The sequence below is a fragment of the Homo sapiens genome, chromosome 8 (assembly GCF_000001405.40).
Source record: "Homo sapiens chromosome 8, GRCh38.p14 Primary Assembly".
In the NCBI taxonomy this organism is placed as follows: Eukaryota; Metazoa; Chordata; class Mammalia; order Primates; family Hominidae; genus Homo; species Homo sapiens.
Window position 1 is genome coordinate 145,014,622 of NC_000008.11, and position 24,060 is coordinate 145,038,681.

The 24,060-nt window shown below is 40.9% G+C and overlaps 1 pseudogene; it reads right to left on the bottom strand.

Annotated features, from left to right (window-relative positions):
- Nucleotides 1-7,592: 7,592 nt before the first annotated feature.
- LOC124902043 (endogenous retrovirus group K member 6 Env polyprotein-like) lies at nucleotides 7,593-18,886 on the bottom strand (annotated as a pseudogene).
- Between the last annotated feature and the right edge of the window lie 5,174 nt (nucleotides 18,887-24,060).

The window sequence follows — 24,060 nt, forward strand, 5'->3', positions numbered from 1 at the left end:
ATAAATGTCTTCTTTTGAGAGGAGTCTGTTCATATCCTTCACCTACTTTTTGATGGGGCTGTTTGATTTTTTCTTGTAAATTTGTTTAAGTTCTTTGTAGATTCTGGACATTAGCCCTTTGTCAGATGGATAGATTGCCAAAATTTTCTCCCAGTCTGTAGATTGCCTGTTCACTCTGATGGTAGTTTCTTTTGCAGTGCAGAAACACTTTAGTTTAATTAGATCCCATTTCTCAATTTTGGCTTTTGTTGCCATTGCTTTTGGTGTTTTAGACATGAAGTCCTTGCCCATGCCTATATCCTGAATGGTATTGCCTAGGTTTTCTTCTAGGGTTTTTATGGTTTTAGGTCTTACATTTAAGTCTTTAATCTATCTTGAATTAATTTTTGTGTAAGGTGTAAGGAAGGGAACCAGTTTCAGCATTTTACATATGACTAGCCAGTTTTCCCAGCACCATTTATTAAATAGGGAATCCTTTCCCCTTTGCTTGTTTTTGTCAGGTTTGTCAAAGATCAGATGGTTGTAGATGTGTGGTTTTATTTCTGAGGGCTCTGTTCTGTTCCATTGGTCTATATCTCTGTTTTGGTACCAGTACCATGCTGTTTTTGACTGTAGCCTTGTTGTATAGTTTGAAGTCAGGTAGCGTGATTCCTCCAGCTTTGTTCTTTTGGCTTAGGATTGTCTCAGCAATGAAGGCTCTTTTTTTATTCCATATGAACTTTAAAGTAGTTTTTTTCCAGTTCTGTGAAGAAAGTCATTGGTAGCTTGATGGGGATGACATTGAATCTATAAATTACCTTGTGAAGTATGGCCATTTTCATGATATTGATTCTTCCTATCCATGAGCATGGAATGTTCTTCCATTTGTTTGTGTCCTCTTTTATTTTGTTGAGCAGTGTTTTGTAGTTCTCCTTGAAGAGGTCCTTCACATCCCTTGTAAGTTGGATTCCTAGGTATTTTATTCTCTTTGAAGCAATTGTGAATGGGAGTTCACTCATGATTTGGCTCTCTGTCTGTTATTTGTGTATAGGAATGCTTGTGATTTTTGCACATTGATTTTGTATCCTGAGATTTTGCTGAAGTTGCTTATCAGCTTAAGGAGATTTTGGGCTGAGATGATGGGGTTTTCTAAATATACAATCATGTCATCTGCAAACAGGGACAATTTGACTTCCTCTTTTCCTAATTGAATACCCTTTATTTCTTTCTCGTGCCTGATTGCCCTGGCCAGAACTTCCAACACTATGTTGAATAGGAGTGGTGAGAGAGGTCATCCCTGTCTTGTGACAGTTTTCAAAGGGAATGCTTCCAGTTTTTGCCCATTCAGTATGATATTGGCTGTAGGTTTGTCATAAATAGCTCTTATTATTTTGAGATACATCCCATCAACACCTAATTTATTGAGAGTTTTTAGCATGAAGGGCTGTTGAATGTTGTCGAAGGCCTTTTCTGCATCTATTGAGATGATCATGTGGTTTTTGTCTTTGATTCTGTTTATATGATGGATTATGTTTATTGATTTGCATACGTTGAATCAGCCTTGCATCCCAGGGATGAAGCCCACTTGATCATGGTGGATAAGCTTTTTGATGTGCTGCTGGATTCTTTTTTGTCAGTATTTTATTGAGGATTTTTGCATCGATGTTCATCAGGGATATTGGTCTAAAATTCTCTTTTTTGTGTGTGTCTCTGCCAGGCTTTGGTATCAGGATGATGCTGGCCTCCTAAAAGGAGTTAGGGAGGATTCCCTTTTTTTCTATTGATTGGAATAGTTTCAGAAGGAATGGTACCAGCTCCTCCTTATACCTCTGGTAGATTTTGGCTGTGAATCCATTTGGTCCTGGACTTTTTTTGGTTAGTAGGCTATTTATTATTGCCTCAATTTCAGAGCCTGTTATTGGTCTATTCAGAGATTCAACTTCTTCCTGGTTTAGTCTTGGGAGTGTGTATGTGTCGAGGAATTTATCCATTTCCTCTAGCTTTTTTAGTTTATTTGCATAGAGGTGTTTATAGTATTCTCTGATGGTAGTTTTGTATTTCTGTGGGATTGGTGGTGATAACCCCTTTATCATTTTTTATTGCATCTATTCTTCTCTCTTTTCTTCTTTATTAGTCTTGCTAGTGGTCTATCAATTTTGTTGATCTTTTCAAAAACTAGCTCCTGGATTCATTGATTTTTTGAAGGGTTTTTTTGTGTTTCTATCTCCTTCAGTTCTGCTCTGATCTTAGTTATTTCCTGCCTTCTGCTAGCTTTTGAATGTGTTTGCTCTTGCTTCTCTAGTTCTTTTAATTGTGATGTTAGGGTGTCAATTTTAAATCTTTCCTGCTTTCTCTTATGGGCATTTAGTGCTATAAATTTCCCTCTACACACTGCTTTAATTGTGTCCCAGAGATTCTGGTATGTTGTGTCTTTTTTCTCATTGGTTTCAAAGAACATCTTTATTTCTGCCTTCATTTCGTTATGTACCCAGTAGTCATTCAGGAGCAGGTTGTTCAGTTTCCATGTAGTTGAGCGGTTTTAAGTGAGTTTCTTAATCCTGAGTTCTAGTTTGATTGCACTGTGGTCTGAGAGTTTGTTATAATGTCTGTTCTTTTACATTTTCTGAGGAGTGCTTTACTTCCAACTATGTGGTCAATTTTGGAATAAGTGCGATGTGGTGCTGAGAAGAATGTATATTCTGTTGATTTGGGGTGGAGAGTTCTGTAGATGTCTATTAGGTCTGTTTGTGCAGAGCTGAGTTCAATTCCTGGATATCCTTGTTAACTTTCTGTCCTGTGGATCTGTCTAATGTTGACAGTGGGGTGTTAAAATCTCTCATTATTATTGTGTGGGAGTCTAAGTCTCTTTGTGGGTCTCTAAGGACTTGCCTTATTAATCTGGTTGCTCCTGTATTGGGTGCATATATATTTAGGATAGTTAACTCTTCTTGATGAGTTGATCCCTTTACCATTATGTAATGGCTTTCTTTGTCTCTTTTGATCTTTGTTGTTTAAAGCCTGTTTTATCAGAGACTAGGATTGCAACCCCTGCTTTTTTTTGTTTTCCATTTGCTTGGTAGATCTTCCTCCATCCCTTTATTTTGAGCCTATGTGTGTCTCTGCACATGAGATGGGTCTCCTGAATACAGCACACTGATGGGTCTTGACTCTTTATCCAATTTGCCAGTCTGTGTCTTGTAATTGGAGCATTTAGCCCATTTACATTTAAGGTTAATATTGTTATGTGTGAATTTGATCCTGTCATTTTGAGTTAGCTGGTTATTTTGCTCATTAGTTGATGCAGTTTCTTCCTAGCATCGATGGTCTTTACAATTTGGCATGTTTTTGCAGTGGCTGGTACTGGTTTTTCCTTTCCATGTTTAGTGCTTCCTTCAGGAGCTCTTGTAAGGCAGGCCCAGTGGTGACAAAATCTCTCAGCATTTGCTTGTCTGTAAAGGATTTTATTTCTCCTTCACTTATGAAGCTTAGTTTGGCTGGATATGAAACTCTGGGTTGAAAATTCTTTGCTTTAAGAATGTTGAATATTGGCCTCCACTCTCTTCTGGCTTGTAGAGATTCTGCTGAGAGATCCACTGTTAGTCTGGTGGGCTTCCCTTTGTGGGTAACTCGACCTTTCTCTCTGGCTGCCCTTAACATTTTTTCCTTCATTTCAACTTGGGTGAATCTGACAATTATGTGTCTTGGAGTTGCTCTACTTGAGGAGTATCTTTGTGGCATTCTCTGTATTTCCTGAATTTGAATGTTGGCCTGCCTTGGTAGGTTGAGGAAATTCTCCTGGATAATATCCTGAAAACTGTTTTCCAACTTTGTTCCATTCTCCCCATCACTTTCAGGTACACCAATCAGATGTAGATTTGGTCTTTTCACATAGTCCCATATTTCTTGGAGGCTTTGTTCCATTTCTTTTTACTCTTTTTTCTCTAAACTTCTCTTCTCACATCATTTCATTCATTTGATCTTCAATCACTGATACCCTTTCTTCCAGTTGATTGAATCAGCTACTGAAGCTTGCACATGTAGTTCTCGTGCCATGGCTTTCAGCTCCATCAGGTCATTTAAGGTCTTCTCTACCCTGGTTATTCAGTTAGCCATTCGTCTAATCTTTTTTCAAGGTTTTTAGCTTCTTTGTGATGGGTTCAAACATCCTCCTTTAGCTCAGAGAAGTTTGATCATCTGAAGCTTTCTTCTCTCAACTCATCAAAGTCATTCTCCATCCAGGTTTGATCTATTGCTGGTGAGGAGCTGCATTCCTTTGGAGGAGAAGAGGTGCTCTGATTTTTAGAATTTTCAGCTTTTCTGCTCTGGCTTCTCCCCATCTTTGTGTTTTTATCTACCTTTTGTCTTTGATGATGGTCACGTACAGATGGGGTTTTGGTGTGGATGTACTTTTTGTTTGTTAGTTTTCCTTCTAATAGTCAGAACCCTCAGCTGCAGGTCTGTTGGAGTTTGCTGGAGGTCCACTCTAGATCCTGTTTGCCTGGATATGACCAGTAGAGGCTACAGAATAGCGAATATTGCAGAATAGCAAATGTTGCTGCCTGATCATTCCTCTGGAAGCTTCATCTCAGAGGGGTACCCGGCCGTGTGAGGTATCAGTCAGCCCCTACTGGGAGGTGCCTCCCAGTTAGGGTACTCAGGTGTCAGGGAGCCACTTGAGGAGGCAGTCTGTTTGTTCTCAGATCTCAAACTCCATGCTGGGAGAACCACTACTCTCTTCAAAGCTGTCAGACAGGGACATTTAAGTCTGCAGAAGATTCTGCTGCCTTTTGTTCAGCTATGCCCTGCACCCAGAGGTGGAGTCTGCAGAGGCTGGTAGGCCTCCTTGAGCTGCAGTGGGCTCCATCCAGTTCAAGCTTCCCAGCCGCTTTGTTTACCTACTGAAGTCTCAGCAATGGTGGGCGCCCCTCCCCCAGCCTTGCTGCCACCTTGCAGTTCGATCTCAGACTGCTGTGCTAGCAATGAGCAAGGCTCCATGGGTGTGGGACCCTCCAAGCCAGGTGTAGGAAATAATCTCCTGGTGTGCCATTTGCTAAGACCATTGGAACAGCACAGTATTAGGGTGGGAGTGACCCGATTTTCCAGGTGCCATCTGTCACAGCTTCCCTTGGCTAGGAAAGGGAATTCCCTGACCCCTTGCACTTCCCAGGTGAGGTGGTGCCTTGCCCTGCTTCAGGTCTCACTCGGTGGGCTGCACCCACTGTCCTGCACCCACTGTCTGACAAGCTCCAGTGAGATGAACCTGGTATTTCAGTTGGAAATGCAGAAATCACCTGTCTTCTGCATCGCTCATGCTGGGAGCTCTAGACTGGAACTGTTCCTATTTGGCCATCTTGGAACCTCCCATGTAGGTTACCATTTTTAGGGGTGGTCACTGTTGAGCCTCCAAGTCCTATTCCCTTAAAATGGAAGACCCAAAATCCTGTTTGGGTTGAGCTGTGGCCACTTACTCAGGAAAAATTGGGGGCCTTACAGGAATTAGTCAAAGAGCAATTAAACAAAGGAAGCATTGAGCCCACATTTTCTCCATAGAATTTGCCGGTGTTTGTAATAAAGAAAAAATCCAGCAGATGGCGCATGCTAACCGACTTACGTGTGGTGAACACATTCATTCAGCTGATTGGGGCCCTGCAGCTGGGGCTTCTATCCCCCACCATGATTCCTAGAGACTGGCCATTAGTAATTATAGATTTGAAGGATTGCTTTTTAAATATTCTTCTAGCAGAGTCTGATTTTGTGAAATTTGCTTTTACTATTCCTGCTATGAACAACAAGGAACCAGCAGCCAGATATCATTGGAAAGTCCTGCTGCAGGATATGTTGAATAGTCCTACTATTTGTCAAACTTTTGTGGGGAAGGCTATTCCACCTGTGAGAGATCAGTTTCCTGATTCATATATCATTCATTTTATGGATGACATATTGGGTACGGTCAAAAGTTAAGACTGACTTATCCAGTGTTATTCATATTTACAGGAGGTGGTAGCCAATGCTGGATTGCTCATAGCACCAGATAAAATTCAAACATCCACTCCTTTCCAATATTTGGGAATGCAGGATCAGGAAAGGGCAATTAGACCCCAAGAGGTTCAAATTCAAAAAGACTCTCTGAAAACTTTAAATGATTTTCAAAAATTATTAGGGGATATCAATTGGATTTGACCTCCTTTGGGAATCCCTACCTATGCTATGTCTAATCTGTTCTCTATTTTAAGAGGTGACCCTGCTCTCAATAGTAAATGAGAACTGACTCCTGAGACTGCCAAAGAATTACAAATGATTGAAGAAAAAATACAACAGGCCCAGGTTAATAGAATAGACTCAAATTTACCATTACAGTTCATTGTGTTCCCTACTCTCCATTCTTCTACAGGGGTTACAGTTCAGAGTGAGGACTTAGTTGAATGGTCTTTTCTGCCTCACAATACTGTTAGAACACTCACAGTATACTTGGATCAGATGGCAATCTTGATTGGGCAAGCTCACCTTAGAGTTGTTAAACTTTGTGGCTCAGATCCAGATAAGATTATAGTTCCAATGAATAAAAATCAGATTTGGAAAGCCTTTGTTAATTCAGTCAATTGGCAAATAGATTTAGCTGGCTTCATTGGAGTTCTTGATAATCTGAAGGGGTGGCCTGCCCCTCCACACCTGTGGGTATTTCTAGTCAGGTGGGATGGGAGACTGAGAAAAGAAATAAGACACAGTGACAAAGTATAGAGAAACAACAGTGGGCCCAGGAGAGCGGCACTCGGCACACCAAGGACCTGCACCGGCACCGGTCTCTGAGTTCCCTCAGTTTTTATTGATTATTATTTTCATGATTTCAGCAGAAAGGAATGTAGTAGGAGAGCAGGGTGATAATAAGGAGAAGGTCAGCAAAAAGCATGTGAGCAAAGGAATCTATGTCATAATTAAGTTCAAGGGAAAGTACTATGCCTGGATGTGCACATAGGCCAGATTTATGTTTCTCTCCACCCAAACATCTCAGTGGAGTAAAGAATAACAAGGCAGCATTGCTGCCAACATGTCTCACCTCCCACCATAGGGCGGTTTTTCTCCTATCTCAGAATTGAACAAATGTACAATCGGGTTTTATACCAAGACGTTCAGTTCCCAGGGGCAGGCAGGAGACAGTGGCCTTCCTCTATCTCAACTGCAAGAGGCTTTCCTCTTTTACCAATCCACCTCAGCACAGACCCTTTACGGGTGTCGGGCTGGGGGACAGTCAGGTCTTTCTCATCTCATGAGGCCATATTTCCGACTATCACATGGGGAGAAACCTTGGACGATACCCAGCTTTCAAGGGCAGAGTTCCCTGTGGGTTTCTGCAGTGCATTATGCCTGTGGTTTGTTGACACTAGAGAATGGCAATGACTTTTGCCAAGTATACTGCTTGTAAACATTTTGTTAACAAGGCACATCCTGCACAGCCCTAGATCCCTTAAACCTTGACTTCATACAACACATGTTTTTATGAGCTCCAGGTTGGGTCAAAGTGGCTGGGGCAAAACTACAAATTAACAACATCTGAGCAAAGCAATTGTTCAAAGTACAGGTCTTTTTCAAAATGGAGTCTCTTATGTCTTCCCTTTCTACATAGACACAGTAACAGTCTGATCTCTCTCTCTTTTCCCTACATATCCCCCTTTTCTTTTTGACAAAACCGCCATCATCATCATGGTCCGTTCTCGCTAGCCGCTGTCTCTCCGGAGCTGCTGGATACACCTGTAGACTAACAATAGAGAGGACAGACATACAAGGATTAATACAAAATTTGCAATAGTGGAATTTCCAATGGTTTTAACCCAAGTGACAGGTTTAAGATTCGTGAGGCTATCAACAGCTTTTTCCATTGCCTCAGTTTCTGGCACCAAATTTAACTGGGCTTTGGATGTTTTAAAAATTTGTTCTTTCAATTTTGAAATATCTAAAGTAAGATTATCTTCTCTTCCTTGTAGATGGCATCTAACCATGTCCCAGTGATGTTCAGATTCATTATAGGCTTGAGGTGTAATACAAAAATCTGATGTATTGTAGTCACACAGTAACTGAAAAAGATATTCCAAACTTATGAGCCTATCTCCCATCCAAATGACAGTTTGTCTAAGATCATTAATTTGATTTGCCAATTTTTGATCTATTTGAGTCTGAGAATTCCACAATTTTGAGGAATTCTTTTGCCAATTATTCACATATTCTGCAGTGTGAACAGAGGAGGGTAAAGCAATTACAGCAGCCCTAGCAGCAGCTGTGACTGCAATAAGACCCATAATCACTGCAATTAAAGTAAAAATGAATCTTTTAGATCTAGTTAGAACTCCTTTTAATACTTCTGTTAAGATATGTACGGATGGAGAAGCCTCCCACGGTCGGTCCATGGACACAGGGATCCTCGCACCCTCTCTTGCCCTCACTAACAGAATACGATGCTGCCAATCAAAAGTTGAATCAATGCAAGTAAACAATCTACAATTTTCACAGGTTATAGTTTGGGAATCTGGTTTAATAACTATGTTTCCTACAACTAGCATATGAGGGGGTTTTACATAACTTTGCAAAGGAATTGTCGGATTGGATTTTAGGTTAATAGTAAAATATGGTTTATGATTTCTTGTTCCCATAACTTGATTTCCAGACCAAATTCTAATGTGGTATGAGGCCACAGTGAGCTTCCATAATTCTGGGTGTTCAGGAGCAACAACAGGACTAACTAACTTTGGGCGGGGTGATGAAATCCCCTTTTCACCCCATTTCCATGGATAGGGTGATTCTAGCCTTCTATAAACCTGGTCTAGCCTTTTAGTTAAATCACTATCATAGGCCGGATTAGTGGGCCAGACTGATGGAGCCTGTGAACATGAGTGGGTCTGGCCTGTACTATCATAATATAATTGGCCTCAAGCGGCCCAGTTTATAATAGTTCCAAATTTATTGTTTTGTAATACCACCGCAGTATCAGCCACACATTCTTCCCAAACTAAGACTTCTGAGTCTTTTTATTCTTTTGGAATTTCCTTGGGGCAAGATTTTCCCTTAAGCCTAAATTTTAATGATCTTTTATAGGAAGAATCCTGTAAATTATTTATTTGTGACCCGAGTGACATTTCACTTACCTGTGATAAGTGAATTTACTGGTAGCACTGACAGTAGGTACTTCTACCAACCAATTTTGGTTTGTAGGCATTAAGCATCCCGGTGCTTTTCCCAGGCAAATAGGAGGATAATGATACCCAATGGAAATGTTTATCATCATTCCTTCTTCTTCAGGTTGGGCAGGGCCACGGTCATCTGTGGGGCCTGGTACCCATGCACTATTATTAACATATACTTCAATAGGATTATCTATCCAAGTGACTGCCCGAATTAAGGGTCGGAAAGGCACATAGGCCCAGTAAGTATAGTTAGCTGTAGCGGCTCCTGCAGACATAGGGAGACTTACCACCATTGATACAATCATTAAAGCTGCAAGCAGCATATTCTCTGGAGTTTGTGTTACCCTTGTGTTTTTCAGACTTTTTTCAGCTAACTGTGTCAGCTTCTTTAGCTGGGCCCAGGTTGGCGGCTCCGCTTTCTTGGTGGATGGCAACTTCATCTGTTCTTCTGATATCACCATTTTGTTCACCTGGTGGGTCGATGATGCTCAACTGCAGGTTTTTTGTCTCTGTGGAGGCACTTTTATTTGCATTTCTGATGGGATGGGTTTATTGTAGAACTTCAAATGTCTAGTGGGTATCCAAACAGGAAGCTGATTTTCTCCTGGTGAAACACAAGAAAAACCTCTCCCCCATGTTATCACCTTCCCTGTTTCCCAAGTTTTACTTTTGTTGTCTTTCCACCAAATCAGTTTTCCCTCATGTGGGCTGTTCTTTTTACCAGTAAAATGTTGTTCTGCAGAAGTAGTGGTCTGATTTCTATAAATGTTTAAAAAATTTAAAGTATAGGGTGCTAGATTAAGTTCATCTGGGAAGTGTTATACTCCTTACTGTCTTTTTCCCTTTTTTGTTTAACCAATTGAGCTTTGAGTGTTCTATTAGTTCTTTCAATTATGGCCTGTCCTTGGGAATTATAAGGGATTCCTGTTGTATGTGTAATTTTCCACTGATTTAAGAATTTTTGAAATGCTTTACTACAGTATCCTGGCCCATTATCTGTTTTAATTTTTTCTGGAACTCCCATGACAGCAAAATAAGATAATAAATGTATTTTAACATGGGAAGTACTTTCTCCTGTCTGGCAGGTTGCCCATATGAAATGTGAATAAGTATCAACTGTCACGCGGACAAATGACAATTTTCCAAATGAAGGTACATGTGTGACATCCATTTGCCATAATGCATTAGGACATAAATCTCTGAGATTAACTCCTGCCTCCTGAGTGGGCAGGTGTAAGACTTGACACTGAGCACAATGTTGTACAATATTTTTTGCCTGTTTCCATGTGATATCAAATTTATTTTTTAATCCTGTTGCATTTACATGAGTCAGGACATGAAGTTCTTGTGCTTCCATCAAGGCAGATGATACTAGCAAGTCAGCTTGTTCATTTTCCTTAGTTAATTGCCCTGGTAAATTAGTATGTGCTCGAATATGAGTAATATAAACTGGGAAATTTCTTTTTCTTACAGTTTGTTGTAACAATTTAAACAGATGATTTAACTGATAATCCATACTATATTTGATTAGAGCTTTGTAGCCTTTGTAGCCTGTACTATATATGCAGAATCTGAAACAATGTTAATAGGCTGATTAAAATCTTGTAACACTGAAGTGACAGCAACCAATTCTGCTCTTTGAGCTGAGTGATATTGAGTTTCAATGACTCATTCTTTTGGCCCAGTGTAAGCCACTTTTCCATTGCTGAAACCATCAGTAAACACTGTCAGAGCATTTTCTAAAGGTTTTTGTCTGGTAATTTTAGGTAAAATCCAAGTAGTCAATTTTAAAAACTGGAAGATTTTTGTTTCTGGGTAATGATTATCAATAATTCCCACAAAATCAGCTAGACCAATCTGCCATGCAGCAGAATTGATAAAGGCTTGTCTAACCTGTTCCTTGTTTAAAGGAACAATGATTTTATCTGGGTCACTTCCACACAATTTTACTATTCGTAGTCTTGTCTGACCAATTAATGTAGCCATTTGATCTAAGTACAATGTAAAAGTCTTAACTGTACTGTGAGGAAGGAATGACCACTCCACAAGATCTGTATTTTGAACAATAATGCCTGTTGGAGAATGTGCAGTAGCAAAAATCAAAAATTGGAGTGGGGCTAAGTGATCTATTCTATTTACTTGTGCTGAATTAATTTTTTCTTCAACTAATTCAATTTCTTTAGTTGCCTCTGGAGTTATTGTTCTTTTACCATTCAAGTCTGGATCCCCTCTCAAGATAGAAAACAAATTTGACATGGCATAAGTAGGAATGCCTAGAGTTGGCCCAATCCAATTAATATCTCCTAGCAATTTTTGAAAGTCATTTAATGTTCTTAATGTGTCTTTTCTTATTTCTATTTTTTGTGGTTTAATTTTTCTTTCCTCTACCTGCATTCCCAAATAATTAAAAGGAGTGGAGGTCTGAATCTTATCAGATGCTATTGTCAGGCCTGTGTTTGCAACCTCTGTCTGCAGAAACATGTAAAAGTCAATTAATTTGTCTCTTGTTTCTGCAGCACACAAAATATCATCAACATAATGAATGATATAACAGTCTGAAAACTGTCTCTAACTGGTTCCTGGGTCCTGAATCTTTTCCCAGGCCCTGAGGCAAATAGCCCCTAGTTGTTCAATAGCCTCATTTTGCATTACTGATTGTTGGTTAATAGTGCTCCAATTTGGACGTGTTCCTAGCAATTGGTCTGCATCTATATTAACAACAGGATAAGTAGCCTGATTTTTCCGTACCTGTTCTTGTACTCCATCAATCCACCAGGTTTTAAACTGTAGATACTGAGAGGGTGAAAGGGAAGATTTAGGTAAAATTTCCCAATCATAAGGAATAAGTCTATTTCCATGAGCAATGGAATCTAATAACGTTCTCATATAAGGAGAGTTGGGTCCATATTGTTTAGCTCCTTCCTTTATGTCTTTTAACATTTTCATGGTGAAATATTCTTACCTAGCCTCCGTTCGGACAGACGCTCCTGCTTGACTCCCTTTCCTGGCCCTTTCCCGGCCGGTATCGGTTGTAACATTACCGGATACTGCCATGCCTCAAGATCTCCCTGTTTTCTGGCTGTATCAACGGTCTCATGCAGTGCACTATCTTGTCCACTAGCTGGTACTGTAGGATCAAACACCATCGCCGTGGGTTGTTGATATAGTGCCCTACTATTTGGCACAGGATCCCATCTGGGATCTATACTGCACCTCTGGAGATGGCCGATACTGAAATTCGGCTGGCGGCCAGTGTTGATAAACTACCAGTGGTTGGGTTTTATTTTCAACCAGCTGATATTGTAGATACTGTGTCTGTATTGGCATTTGAGGTTGTAATGTCACAGGCATCTGAACCACAGGAGAAGGAGTTGGTGGCCATCGTGGTCTAAACTCTGATGGCCCGAATAATTCTGGACCTCCTTCCCCCAATTTTGATGATTCAGGATATATTACCTCCTGTAATTGATTATAGTCAACATTTTGCATTGACTGAGCCATTACAGACTCTACTACATTTTTATAATGTGAACTTTCCATTCCTTTCTTGAACTCTGTTCCTGTCTCTTCTTCACAATCTATTACACAGCTTTCAGGGGCATCAGAAACTGAAACGCTATCTTCTCCTGTTTGAAATGGTTCTAAAGTTGCTTTAATAATGGCCCAATCATTCCATACTGTAAGTGGGATGATTTTACCTTCCCTACTTGCTTGTTTTAATTATTTGCCAATTTTTTCCCAATCTTTTAAATCTAAAGTTCCCTGTTCTGGAAACCATGGGCAGAATTGTTCTGTTGTTTGAAACAGTGTAATTAGATTTTCCGTAGAAGCTTTAACTCCCCCTCTTCTTAAGAGAATTTTAATGAAGCTGAGATAAGAGGCATATTTACTTTCAGTTTGCCCCATTGTTACCCTGGATTCCTCTGAGTGCACAAGGTTACCGGAAGGCTGACCGTGGACGTACTCGGGAATCTCTCGTCGGCTGTCCTCGATGCTCACATTCTTAGCATAGCTTCACCCTAGAGAAAGGCACCCACGTTGGGTGGCAGATGAAGGGGTGGCCTGCCCCTCCACACCTGTGAGTATTTCTAGTTGGGTGGGATGAGAGACTGAGAAAAGAAATAAGACAGAGAGACAAAGTATAGAGAAACAACAGTGGGCCCAGGAGAGCGGCACTCAGCACACCAAGGACCTGCACCAGCACCGGTCTCTGAGTTCCCTCAGTTTTTATTGATTATTATTTTCATGATTTCAGCAGAAAGGAATGTAGTAGGAGAGCAGGGTGATAATAAGGAGAAGGTCAGCAAAAAACATGTGAATAAAAGAATCTATGTCATAATTAAGTTCAAGGGAAGGTACTATGCCTGGATGGGCACGTAGGCCAGATTTATGTTTCTCTCCACCCAAACATCTCAGTGGAGTAAAGAATAACAAGGCAGCATTGCTGCCAACATGTCTCGCCTCCCACCATAGGGCAGTTTTTCTCCTATCTCAGAATTGAACAAATGTACAATCGGGTTTTATACCAAGACCTTCAGTTCCCAGGGGCAGGTAGGAGATGGTGGCCTTCCTCTATCTCAACTGCAAGAGGCTTTCCTCTTTTACCAATCCACCTCAGCACAGACCCTTTATGGGTGTCAGGCTGGGGGATGGTCAGGTCTTTCTCATCCCATGAGGTCATATTTCAGACTATCATATGGGGAGAAACCTTGGACAATACCCAGCTTTCAAGAACAGAGGTCCCTGCGGCTTTCCGCAGTGGATTATGCCCCTGGTTTGTTGACTCTAGAGAATGGCGATGACTTTTACCAAGTATACTGCTTGTAAACATTTTGTTAACAAGGCACGTCCTGCACAGCCCTAGGTCCCTTAAACCTTGATTTCATACAACACATGTTTTTGTGAGCTCCAGGTTGGGTCAAAGTGGCTGGGGCAAAACTACAAATTAACAACATCTGAGCAAAGCAATTGTTCAAAGTACAGGTCTTTTTCAAAATGGAGTCTCTTATGTCTTCCCTTTCTACATAGACACAGTAACAGTCTGATCTCTCTTTTCTCTACCACAATCATTATCCAAAAAAGAAGATTTTTCAGTTTTTAAAGCTAACAACATGGGTCCTTCCAAAAATTACCAATAGTGCTCCATTGGAAGGAGGAGTCACTGTGTTTACAGATGGCTCTAGCAATGGAAAAGCAGCTTATATAGGACCTAAAAACAAAATTATTCAAACTGACTTTCAATGGGCACAAAGGGCTAAATTACAGACAGTTATAGCTGTGTTAGAAGACTTTAAGCAACCTGTAAATATTGTCTCTGATTCACCTTATGTTGTTCAAGCCATTCAATACATAGAAACTGCACTCATTAAATATCTTGTGGGTGAACAACTCTATCAGCTGTTTTCTTCTTTACAAAAGACAGTGCATGATCGCTGTTTTCCTTTCTATATTACACACATTCAAGCACACACTAATCTTCCTGGGCCCCTTGTAAGGGCTAATGGTCAAGCTGATTTACTAGTTTCAACTGTGCTTACTAATGCCCAAGATTTTCACTCCTTGTGAAACACATGTTAATACAGCAGGACTTAAACAAAAATATCAGATTACTTGGAGACAGGCAAAGGACATTGTACAACATTACCCTCAGTGCCAGGTACTATAACTGCCACATGAAGGGACTCATGTTAACCCACAGGGATTAACCCGTAATATGTTGGGGCAAGTGAATGTAACCCACGTACCTTCGTTTGGGAAATTTCATACGTCCATGTTACTATAGATGCCTTTTCTCATTTTGTGTGGGCAACTTGCCAAACAGGCGAGGCGGCTGCTCGTATTAAAAGATATTTACTTTCCTGTTTTGCTGCCATGGGCCTCCCACAAAAGATTAAAACAGACAATGGCCCAGGCTACTGTAGTAAATCTTTACAAGCGTTCCTTCAACAATGGTACATTGAGCACAGTACTGGAATACCCTATAATTCTCAAGGCCAAGCCATTGTTGAATGGGCTAATCAAACCTTAAAATCTCAATTACAAAAACAAAAGACAGAGGGGGGAACCAGAGAATACTCTACTCCCCATATGCAGCTACAATTTGCTCTTATCACTTTAAATTTTTTGAATTTGTCTAAAGATAAGGTTACAACAACAGCAGAACAGCATTTGTCAGGGCAAAAATAAATCGTCATGAAGGAAAACATGTGTGGTGGAAGGAAGTCAGAATCAAAACCTGGGAAAAGGGCAAAATCATTACTTGGGGTCAAGCGTTTTCTTGTATCTCACCGGGAGAGAATCAGCTTCCTGTCTGGGTACACATAAGACATCTTAAGCTGTGCCATAAGCCAGAATCCAAGGAAGAGGTAAAGACCTTGGAATATCCCTTCACCCCCAGTTCATCAGATGGCTCAGATGAACATCTCTGTTGAGCAGATGGAAACCAGTAAAACCCACCAAGTAACTCCACCGACCTGGGGGCAGATGAAGAGACTAGCTCATATTACAGAAGAGAACCTGAGGTCTCAGAATAAGCCGCTGACCACCAGTAATCTAATGGTAGCTATGATGACAGTAATCTCCCTGGTGGTGAGTCTCCCCATAGCTGAGGCAGATCAAAATTACAATTATTGGGCCTACATTCCATTCCCACCACTGATTAGGCCTGTTACATGGTTAGACTTCCTGGTGGAGGTTTATGTTAATGATAGTGTCTGGATGCCTGGACCAACAGGCAACCGAGGTCCTACTCATCCAGAGGAGGAAGGAATGTTAATGAATGTTTCCATTGCTTATCACTTTCCTCCCATCTGCCTGGGGCCGACAGGAGGATGTTTAAATTATGATAAATAAAGTTGGATGGTTTATGTCCCTGCACATAGTGGATCAAAAGCCTGTATTCATGTAATCAGTGGAAGAACATTTCAATCTTTGGACACTATTAAATACCTTGTGCACGGCTATGTTATGACACATCACCAGATTAATAAATTTAAACCTAATAAGAAGCCCTGCCCTAGGCAGGCCACTAAATGGTCTGGAAAGCTAGAGGTGCTAACCTGGGAAGATTGTATTGCAAACAGCGATGCTGTACTGCAAAATAATTCCTATGGAATCATCATTGATTTGGCCCCTAGGAGAGGCTTTGCAGTAAATTGTACTGGACAGCGTGAAGATTGTAGAGAGACTCCTTTTGCAAACGACCACCCAGATTATGCACCAAAATTATATAGAAGAATGGAAGCACATTTCCCTATTAAGTGGGAGGGGAATGGTATGGCTCCTTCAAGCCCCAAAATAATTGATCCAATTATAAGTCCAGAACATCCAGAATTGTGGAAATTAATGATGGCTCAAACCCAATTCGGATTTGGAAAGGAGAATATAAAACAGAGACCCATAGTAAAAACTTCAATTTGTTGTAGCCATGACTTCTAATCAGATGGTCCCATTGCAGAGTTGTGTTAAACCTCCTCTTATGTTGGCAGTGGGAAAAATTAATATCCTACCTGACTCTCAAACCATATCATTCCTCAACTGTCATCTTTTTACCTGCATTAATTCTACCTTTAATAAAGATAATAACATTTTACTGGTTAGGGCCTGAGAAGGAGTTTGGATACCTATTTCCCTCAATAGACCTTGGGAGTCCTCTCCCTCCATACATATTATCACTGAATTACTAAAAGGAATACTTAATAGATAAAAGAGATGCATATTTACTTTAATAGCTGTGATCATGGGCCTTATAGCTGTCACAGCTGCTGCTGCTGTTGCTGGTGTTGCTTTGCACACTTCTATTCAAACTGTGGGCTTTGTGGATAGTTGGCAGAAAAATTCTTCTAAGCTTTGGAATCCCCAAAGCCAAATAGATCAAAAATTGGCAAATCAAATTAATGATCTCCATCAAACAGTAATGTGGATGGGAGATTGGATTATGAGCTTGGAGCATAGAATTCAAATGCAACGTGATTGGAATACTTCTGATTTTTGTATTACTCCTAGCTCTTACAATGCCAGTGAACACCATTGGGAGATGATTAGATGTCACCTACAAGGAAAAGAAGATAATTTATCATTAGATATTGCTAAACTGGAAAAACATGTTTTTGAGACATCTAAGGTTCATCTCACCCTGTTGCCTGGAGATGATATTCTTGCTGGAGCTGCTGATGGCCTTTCTAATACCAATCCTTTAAAGTGGATTAAAACCATAGGTGGATCAACAATTGCAAATTTTATTTTGGTTTGTGTCTGTTTATGCTGTTTGTTTTTAGTCTACAGATGTGGATGATGCCTTGGGAGAGAAGCCAGACACCGTGAATGAGCCATGATAGCAATGGCAGTTATTAATCAAAAAAAATTAATAAAGACAAAAAAGGGGGACATGTGGGAAAGAGAGTTTCTAGGGTGCCAGTTGAGTTGGTCTCCCCTGTGTGAGACACCCATGGGAAGCCATGGGCAGCCTCTGGGGGGAAAAGTCTCCTTATTGCCTTCATGTCTTTATGCCCTGAGAGCATAACTGCTCAGCAGCATTCCACAGGTTGCTCAGGGAGATAACACTCCCTTGAAGCAGTGGAGTATAATCAAACATCTTGGCTCCTCCTGAAACCCGCAAGATCTTAAGTAGTTTAGACATACACCTCTGCTCAAGGAAATTCACAGAAACCGCCACTGCTATACATCTTATCGAATGACTCACGAGTTCTCCTTCACTGATTAATCCTTTTTCCCACCCCTTCCTCCCCCTCCCATCTGCCTTAAGAACAAAGAGCTTGTAGACCAATAAATTGGGCAGAGCCTGAGAGCTCTGGGCCATGAGCAAGCCTCCAACACTCTTGTCCCCTGGACCTGCCTTTTAAATGCTTATTCTGTCTCTTTCCAACTCCTTTGTCTCTGCTGGATTTGGGGTACCCACTGGGTGTTGTGGGGCTGGTTTCCCCAACAGTGGAAAAAAGGCTGGCCTCACTGTTTATGGGTAGTTGTGGCAGTGGCAATCTCAGTATCAGAGGCTATGAAAATAATACAAGGAAAGGATCTCACCATCTGGACTACTCATGATGTAAATGGCATAATAGGTGCCAAAGGTAGTTTATGGCTATCAGACAACTGCCTGCTTAGATACCAGCTGCTACACCTTGAGGGACTGGTGCTTCAAATATGCACATGTGCAGCCCTAAACCCTGTCACCTTTCTCCCAGAGGATGGAGGACCAGTTGAGCACTACTGCCAACAAATTATAGTCCAGACTTATGCCACTGAGAGGATCTCTTAGAAGTCCCCTTAGTTAATCCTGACCCTAACCTATATACCAATGGAAGTTCATTTGTGGAGAATTGGATATGAAGGGCAGGTTATGCCATAGTTAGTGATGTAACGGTACTTGAAAGTAAGCCTCTTCCCCCAGGGACCAGTGCCCAGTTAACAGAACTAGTGGCACTTACCCAAGCCTTAGGACTGGGAAAGGGAAAAAGAATAAATGTGTATACAGATAGCAATCATGCTTATGTAATCCTACATGCCCATGCTGCAATATGGAAAAAAAGGGAGTTCCTAACCTCTGGGGGAACCCCCATTAAATACCACAAGGAAATCTTGGAGTTATTGCACGCAGTGCAAAAACCCAAGGAGGTGGCAGTCTTACACTGCAAAGCCATCAAAAAGAGGAAGGAGAGCAGAGAACAGCAGCATAAGTGGCTGGCAGGGCACTTGACAAAGAGAAGGACAAAGAGAAGGAAAGAGAGAGAGAGGGAGAGAGAGGAAAGACAGAAAGTCAAAGAGAGAAGGAAAGAGAGAGGGATAGAGAGAGGGAAAGACAGAAAAAGAGAGAAGGAAAGAGAGAGAGGAAGAGACAAAGAGGAAGTCAGAGAGAAAGAAAGAGAGACAGAAAGTCAAAGAGAAGGAGAGGAAGAGACAGACAAAGAGGGAGTCAGAGAAAGAGAGAAAGAGACAAAGTCAAAGAGAGAAACAGAGAGACAGAAAGTCAAAGAAAGAGAGAGAGAAGTATTAAAGAAAAAACAGTGTACCCTATTCCTTTAAAAGCCAGGGCAAATTTAAAACCTATAATTGATAATTGATTTAAAACCACAATGAGATACCATCTCACACCAGTTAGAATGGCAATCATTACAAAGTCAGGAAACAACAGGTGCTGGAGAGGATGTGGAGAAATAGGAACACTTTAACACTGTTGGTGGGACTGTAAACTAGTTCAACCATTGTGGAAGTCAGTGTGGTGATTCCTCAGGGATCTAGAACTAGAAATACCATTTGACCCTGCCATCCCATTACTGGGTGTATACCCAAAGGACTATAAATCATGCTGCTATAAAGACACATGCACACGTATGTTTATTTCGGCATTATTCACAATAGCAAAGACTTGGAACCAACCCAAATGTCCAACAATGATAGACTGGATTAAGAAAATGTGGCACATATACACCATGGAATACTATGCAGCCATAAAAATGATGAGTTCACGTCCTTTGTAGGGACATGGATGAAATTGGAAATCATCATTCTCAGTAAACTGTCGCAAGGACAAAATACCAAACACCGCATGTTCTCACTCATAGATGGGAATTGAACAATGAGAACACATGGACACAGGAAGGGGAACACCACACTCTGGGGACTGTTGTGGGGTGGGGGGAGGGGGGAGGGATAGCATTAGGAGATATACCTAATGCTAAATGATGAGTTAATGGGTGCAGCACACCAGCATGGCACATGTATACATATGTAACTAACCTGCACATTGTGCAGATGTACCCTAAAACTTAAAGTATAATAAAAAATATATATATACAGAAAAAAAAAGTCTTCTCCAATACCACCTTGTTGTCAGTGTAAACAAGGGTATAGCCCGAAAGCACTGAGGCCACTGACAACCCATAGCATTCCTATCAAAAATCCTTAACCCAGCAGGTTTCCTAACAGGGGATCTAAATTAATTACCATACAAAGGTCTGAACATACCTAAGAGGAACTCCCTTCAGGACAGGATAATAGATGGTTCCTTCCAGGCGATTAAGGGAAAAAGACACAATGGGTATTCAGTAAGTGATAAGGAAACTCTTGTAGAAGCAGAGTTAGGAAAATTGCCTAATAATTGGTCTGCTCAAATGTGTGAGTTGTTTGCACTCAGCTAAACCTTAAAGTACTTACAGAATCAGGAAAGAGGATCTATACCAATTCTAAGTTAACATGGACTGAACGAGGTCTTATTAATAGCAAAGAATAATTGAAATCCCAAACTTCCAAGGTTTTCAACAAAAGTAGTTTGCTAAAAGTTAACAGTGTAATATTTATTATTCTAACTTCTTATCTTGTGGAAATCAGACCACATCAGTGCCCCTCAAAGCTCAAGTCCATCAGTGCAGGGCCATACAACTACTACCCCTACTTATAGGGTTAGAAATGGCCACTGCTACTGGAACCAGAATAGCAGGTTTATCAACTTCATTATCCTACTACCACACACTCTCAAAGGATTTCTCAGTTCGCAATAAATAACAAAATCTATCCTTACTCTATAATCCCAAATAAACTCTTTGGCAGCAGTGACTGTCCAAAACTGCTGAGGCCTAGGCCTCCTCACTGCTGAGAAAGGAGGACTTTGCACCTTCTTAGGGGAAGAGTGTTGCTTTTACACTAACCAGTCAGGGATAGTATGAGATGCCATCTGGTGTTTACAGGAAAAGGCTTCTGAAATCAGATAATGCCTCTCAAACTCTTATACCAACCTCTGGAGTTGGGTGACATGGCTTCTCCCCTTTCTAGGTCCTGTGAAAGCCATCTTGCTATTATTCACTTTTGGGCCCTGTATTTTTAACCTCCTTGCCAAATTTGTTTCCTTCAGGATTGAGGCCATCAAGCTACAGATGGACTTACAAATGGAACCCCAAATGAGTTCAACTCAAAACTTCTACCGAGGACCCCTGGATTGACCCACTGGCTCTTTGGCTGGCCTAGAGAGTTCCCTTCTGAGGACACTACCACTGGAGGGCCCCGTCTTCACCCCTATCCAGCAGGAAGTAGCTAGAGTGGTCATTGGCCAATTCCCAACAGCAGTGGGGTGTCCCGTTTAAAGGGGGGATTGAGAGGTGAAGCCAGCTTGACTTCCTGGTTTGAGTGGGGACTTGGAGAACTTTTCTGTTTTACAAGAGGTTTGTAAAATGCACCAATCAGTGCTTTGTAAAAATGCACCAATCAGCACTCTGTAGCTAGCTAGAGATTTGTAAAATAGACCAATTAGCACTCTGTAAAATGGACCAATCAGCACTCTGTAAAATGGACCAATCAGCAGGACATGGGCAGGCACAAACAAGGGAAAAAAAGCTGGCCACCCCAGCCAGCAGTGGCAACCTATGGGCTAATGGCAGCATACTCCAGGCAGCCTAGTCCTGTCCTCTTTGCTTCTTCTGCTTGGTTCCATATAATTCAGCATTTTTTTTTTGAGATGGAGTCTCACTCTGTTGCCCAGGCTGGAGTGCAGTGGTGTGATCTTGGCTCACTGCAACCTCCACCTCCCAGGCTGAAGCGATTCTCCTGCCTCAGACTCCCAAGTGGCTGGTACTGCAGGCACATGCCACCATGCCTGGCTAATTTTTGTAATTTTAGTAGAGATGGGGTTTCACCATATTGGTCAGGCTGGTCTTGAACTCCTGACCTCAGGTGATCCACCTGCCTCAGCCTCCCAAAGTGTAATTCAGCACTCTTCAATTATACATATTGAAATATGCATTCAGAAAAGTACTTAAATCATAAATATGTACAACTCAATTTTGAGTATGTGAACAAGAAAGTAACCACTATCCACATAAAAATGCAGAGCAGATTAGCACCCAAAGCCTCCTTTGCGCCCACTCCTGGCTATTACCTTCAAAATGCTACCTAATGAGAGGACTCAGAGTGCCATATAAAACTATAAAGGTGACAACTGGAACAGAAATTAAAATCTTGCTAAATATTGGAAACAACAATAAAAAGGATTGAAAGGGAAAGAAAGAGTTAATATTGCTATGGTTTGGATGTGTGTCCCCTCTGAATTTCATGTTGAAATGTGATCCCCAAAGTTGGAGGTGGGACCTAGTGGAAGGTGTTTGGGGATGGATCCCTCATGAATGGCTTGATGCCTTCCTGGAGGTAATGAATGAGTTCTCACTTTGTTACTTCATAGAGAGCTGGTTGTTTAAAAGAGGCTGGCTCCTCTCTCTTGCTCCCTTTCTTGCCATGTGACATGCCTGTTTCCTCTTAGCCTTCTTCCATGAGTAAAAGCTTCCTGAGGCCTCACCAGAAGCTGAGCAAATGCCAGCACTATACTTCCTGTGTAACCTGAAGAACCATGAGCCAAATAAACCTCTTTTCTTTGTAAATTACCCAGCTTCAGGTGTTCCTTCATAACAAAGTGTAACAGATTAACACAAATATATAATCAAAATATAATATGACAATTAAAACAAGAACAACTATCTTAACAAATGGGATTAACTCACCTCTTTTAGAAAGTATATAGATTTGAGCTGGGTGTGGTGGCTCACGTCTGTAATCCCAGCACTTGGGAGGCTGAGACGGGTGGATCACAAGGTCAGGAGTTCAAGACCAGCCTGACCAATATGGTGAAACCCTGTCTCTACTCAAAATATGAAAATTAGCCAGCCATGGTGGCATGTGCCTGTCATCCCAGATACTTGGGAGGCTGAGACAGGAGACTGGCTTGAACCCAGGAGGTGGAGGTTGTGTGAGCCGTGATCAAGCCACTGTACTCCAAGCTGGGTGATAGAGCAAGACTCTGTCTCAAAAATAAATAAATAAATAAATAAAAATAAAAAATATATCTTTTCAAATTGGAATGAATTAATGGCATTCACAGCAACCTGGATGGGACTGGAAACTATTATTCTAAGTGAAGTAACTTAGGAATGGAAAACCAAACAGTGTATGTTCTCACTCATAAGTGGAGCTAAGCTATGAGGATGCAAAGGCATAAGAATGATATGATGGACTTTGCTGACTCACAGTGAAAGGGTGGGAAGAGGGTGAGGGATAAAAGACTACAAATTGGGTTCAGTGTGTACTGCTTGGGTGATGGGTGCACGAAAATCTCACAAATCACCAGTAAAGAACTTATGTAACAAAATACCACCTGTTCCCTAAAAACCTATGGAAATAAAAAATTTAAAAAGTATATATATATATATATACATATAAAGTTTCAAATTGGATCACAAAACAAAGTCCAACTCTTAAAATACAGTGATTCTGAAAGGCTAAAAATAAAAGAATAAGCAAAGTATACCAGGGAAATCTAAACAAGAAGAAAGCATGACATTAAGATGGTAATCTTAATATCAGACAAGGTGGAATTCAGGTTAAAATGCATCAAGTAATACAAAGAAATTTACAATGATAAAGGCTATGATTCCCAATGCAAATTTAGCAGTTATGAATATTTATGCACCAAGGAGCACCGAGCTGCTCTTGTGGATTGTCACAGTAATGGCCACAATGGAGTGTGCCTCCTGGTATACATGCCCTTCTCACACCAACCGTGGACTTTAGTCAGTGTGAAATAAGCAAATGTCACAAGCAGAGAGTTGATAAGAACTGTCTAGCTGAGCCCAGTCTAAATTTTAGAATTGTGAGCAAATAAATGGTTGTTTGTAACGTGAATGCCTATAGAAGAGGAAAAAATTAATAGGATGGATGAAACTTATAAAAAATGTTAGTAAGGTAGTAGCTTTTGAAGTATTGATAAAACTCTAGATATGAGCAAGCAACTAGTGTGTGAGCTATAGGCAGGACTAGTAAGATATGTTACATGTAGATAGGAAGTTAGTATCCTGTAGGACATGCTAAAGATGGAACAAATGGAATGTATAATGCAATCAACAAGAGTATTCCT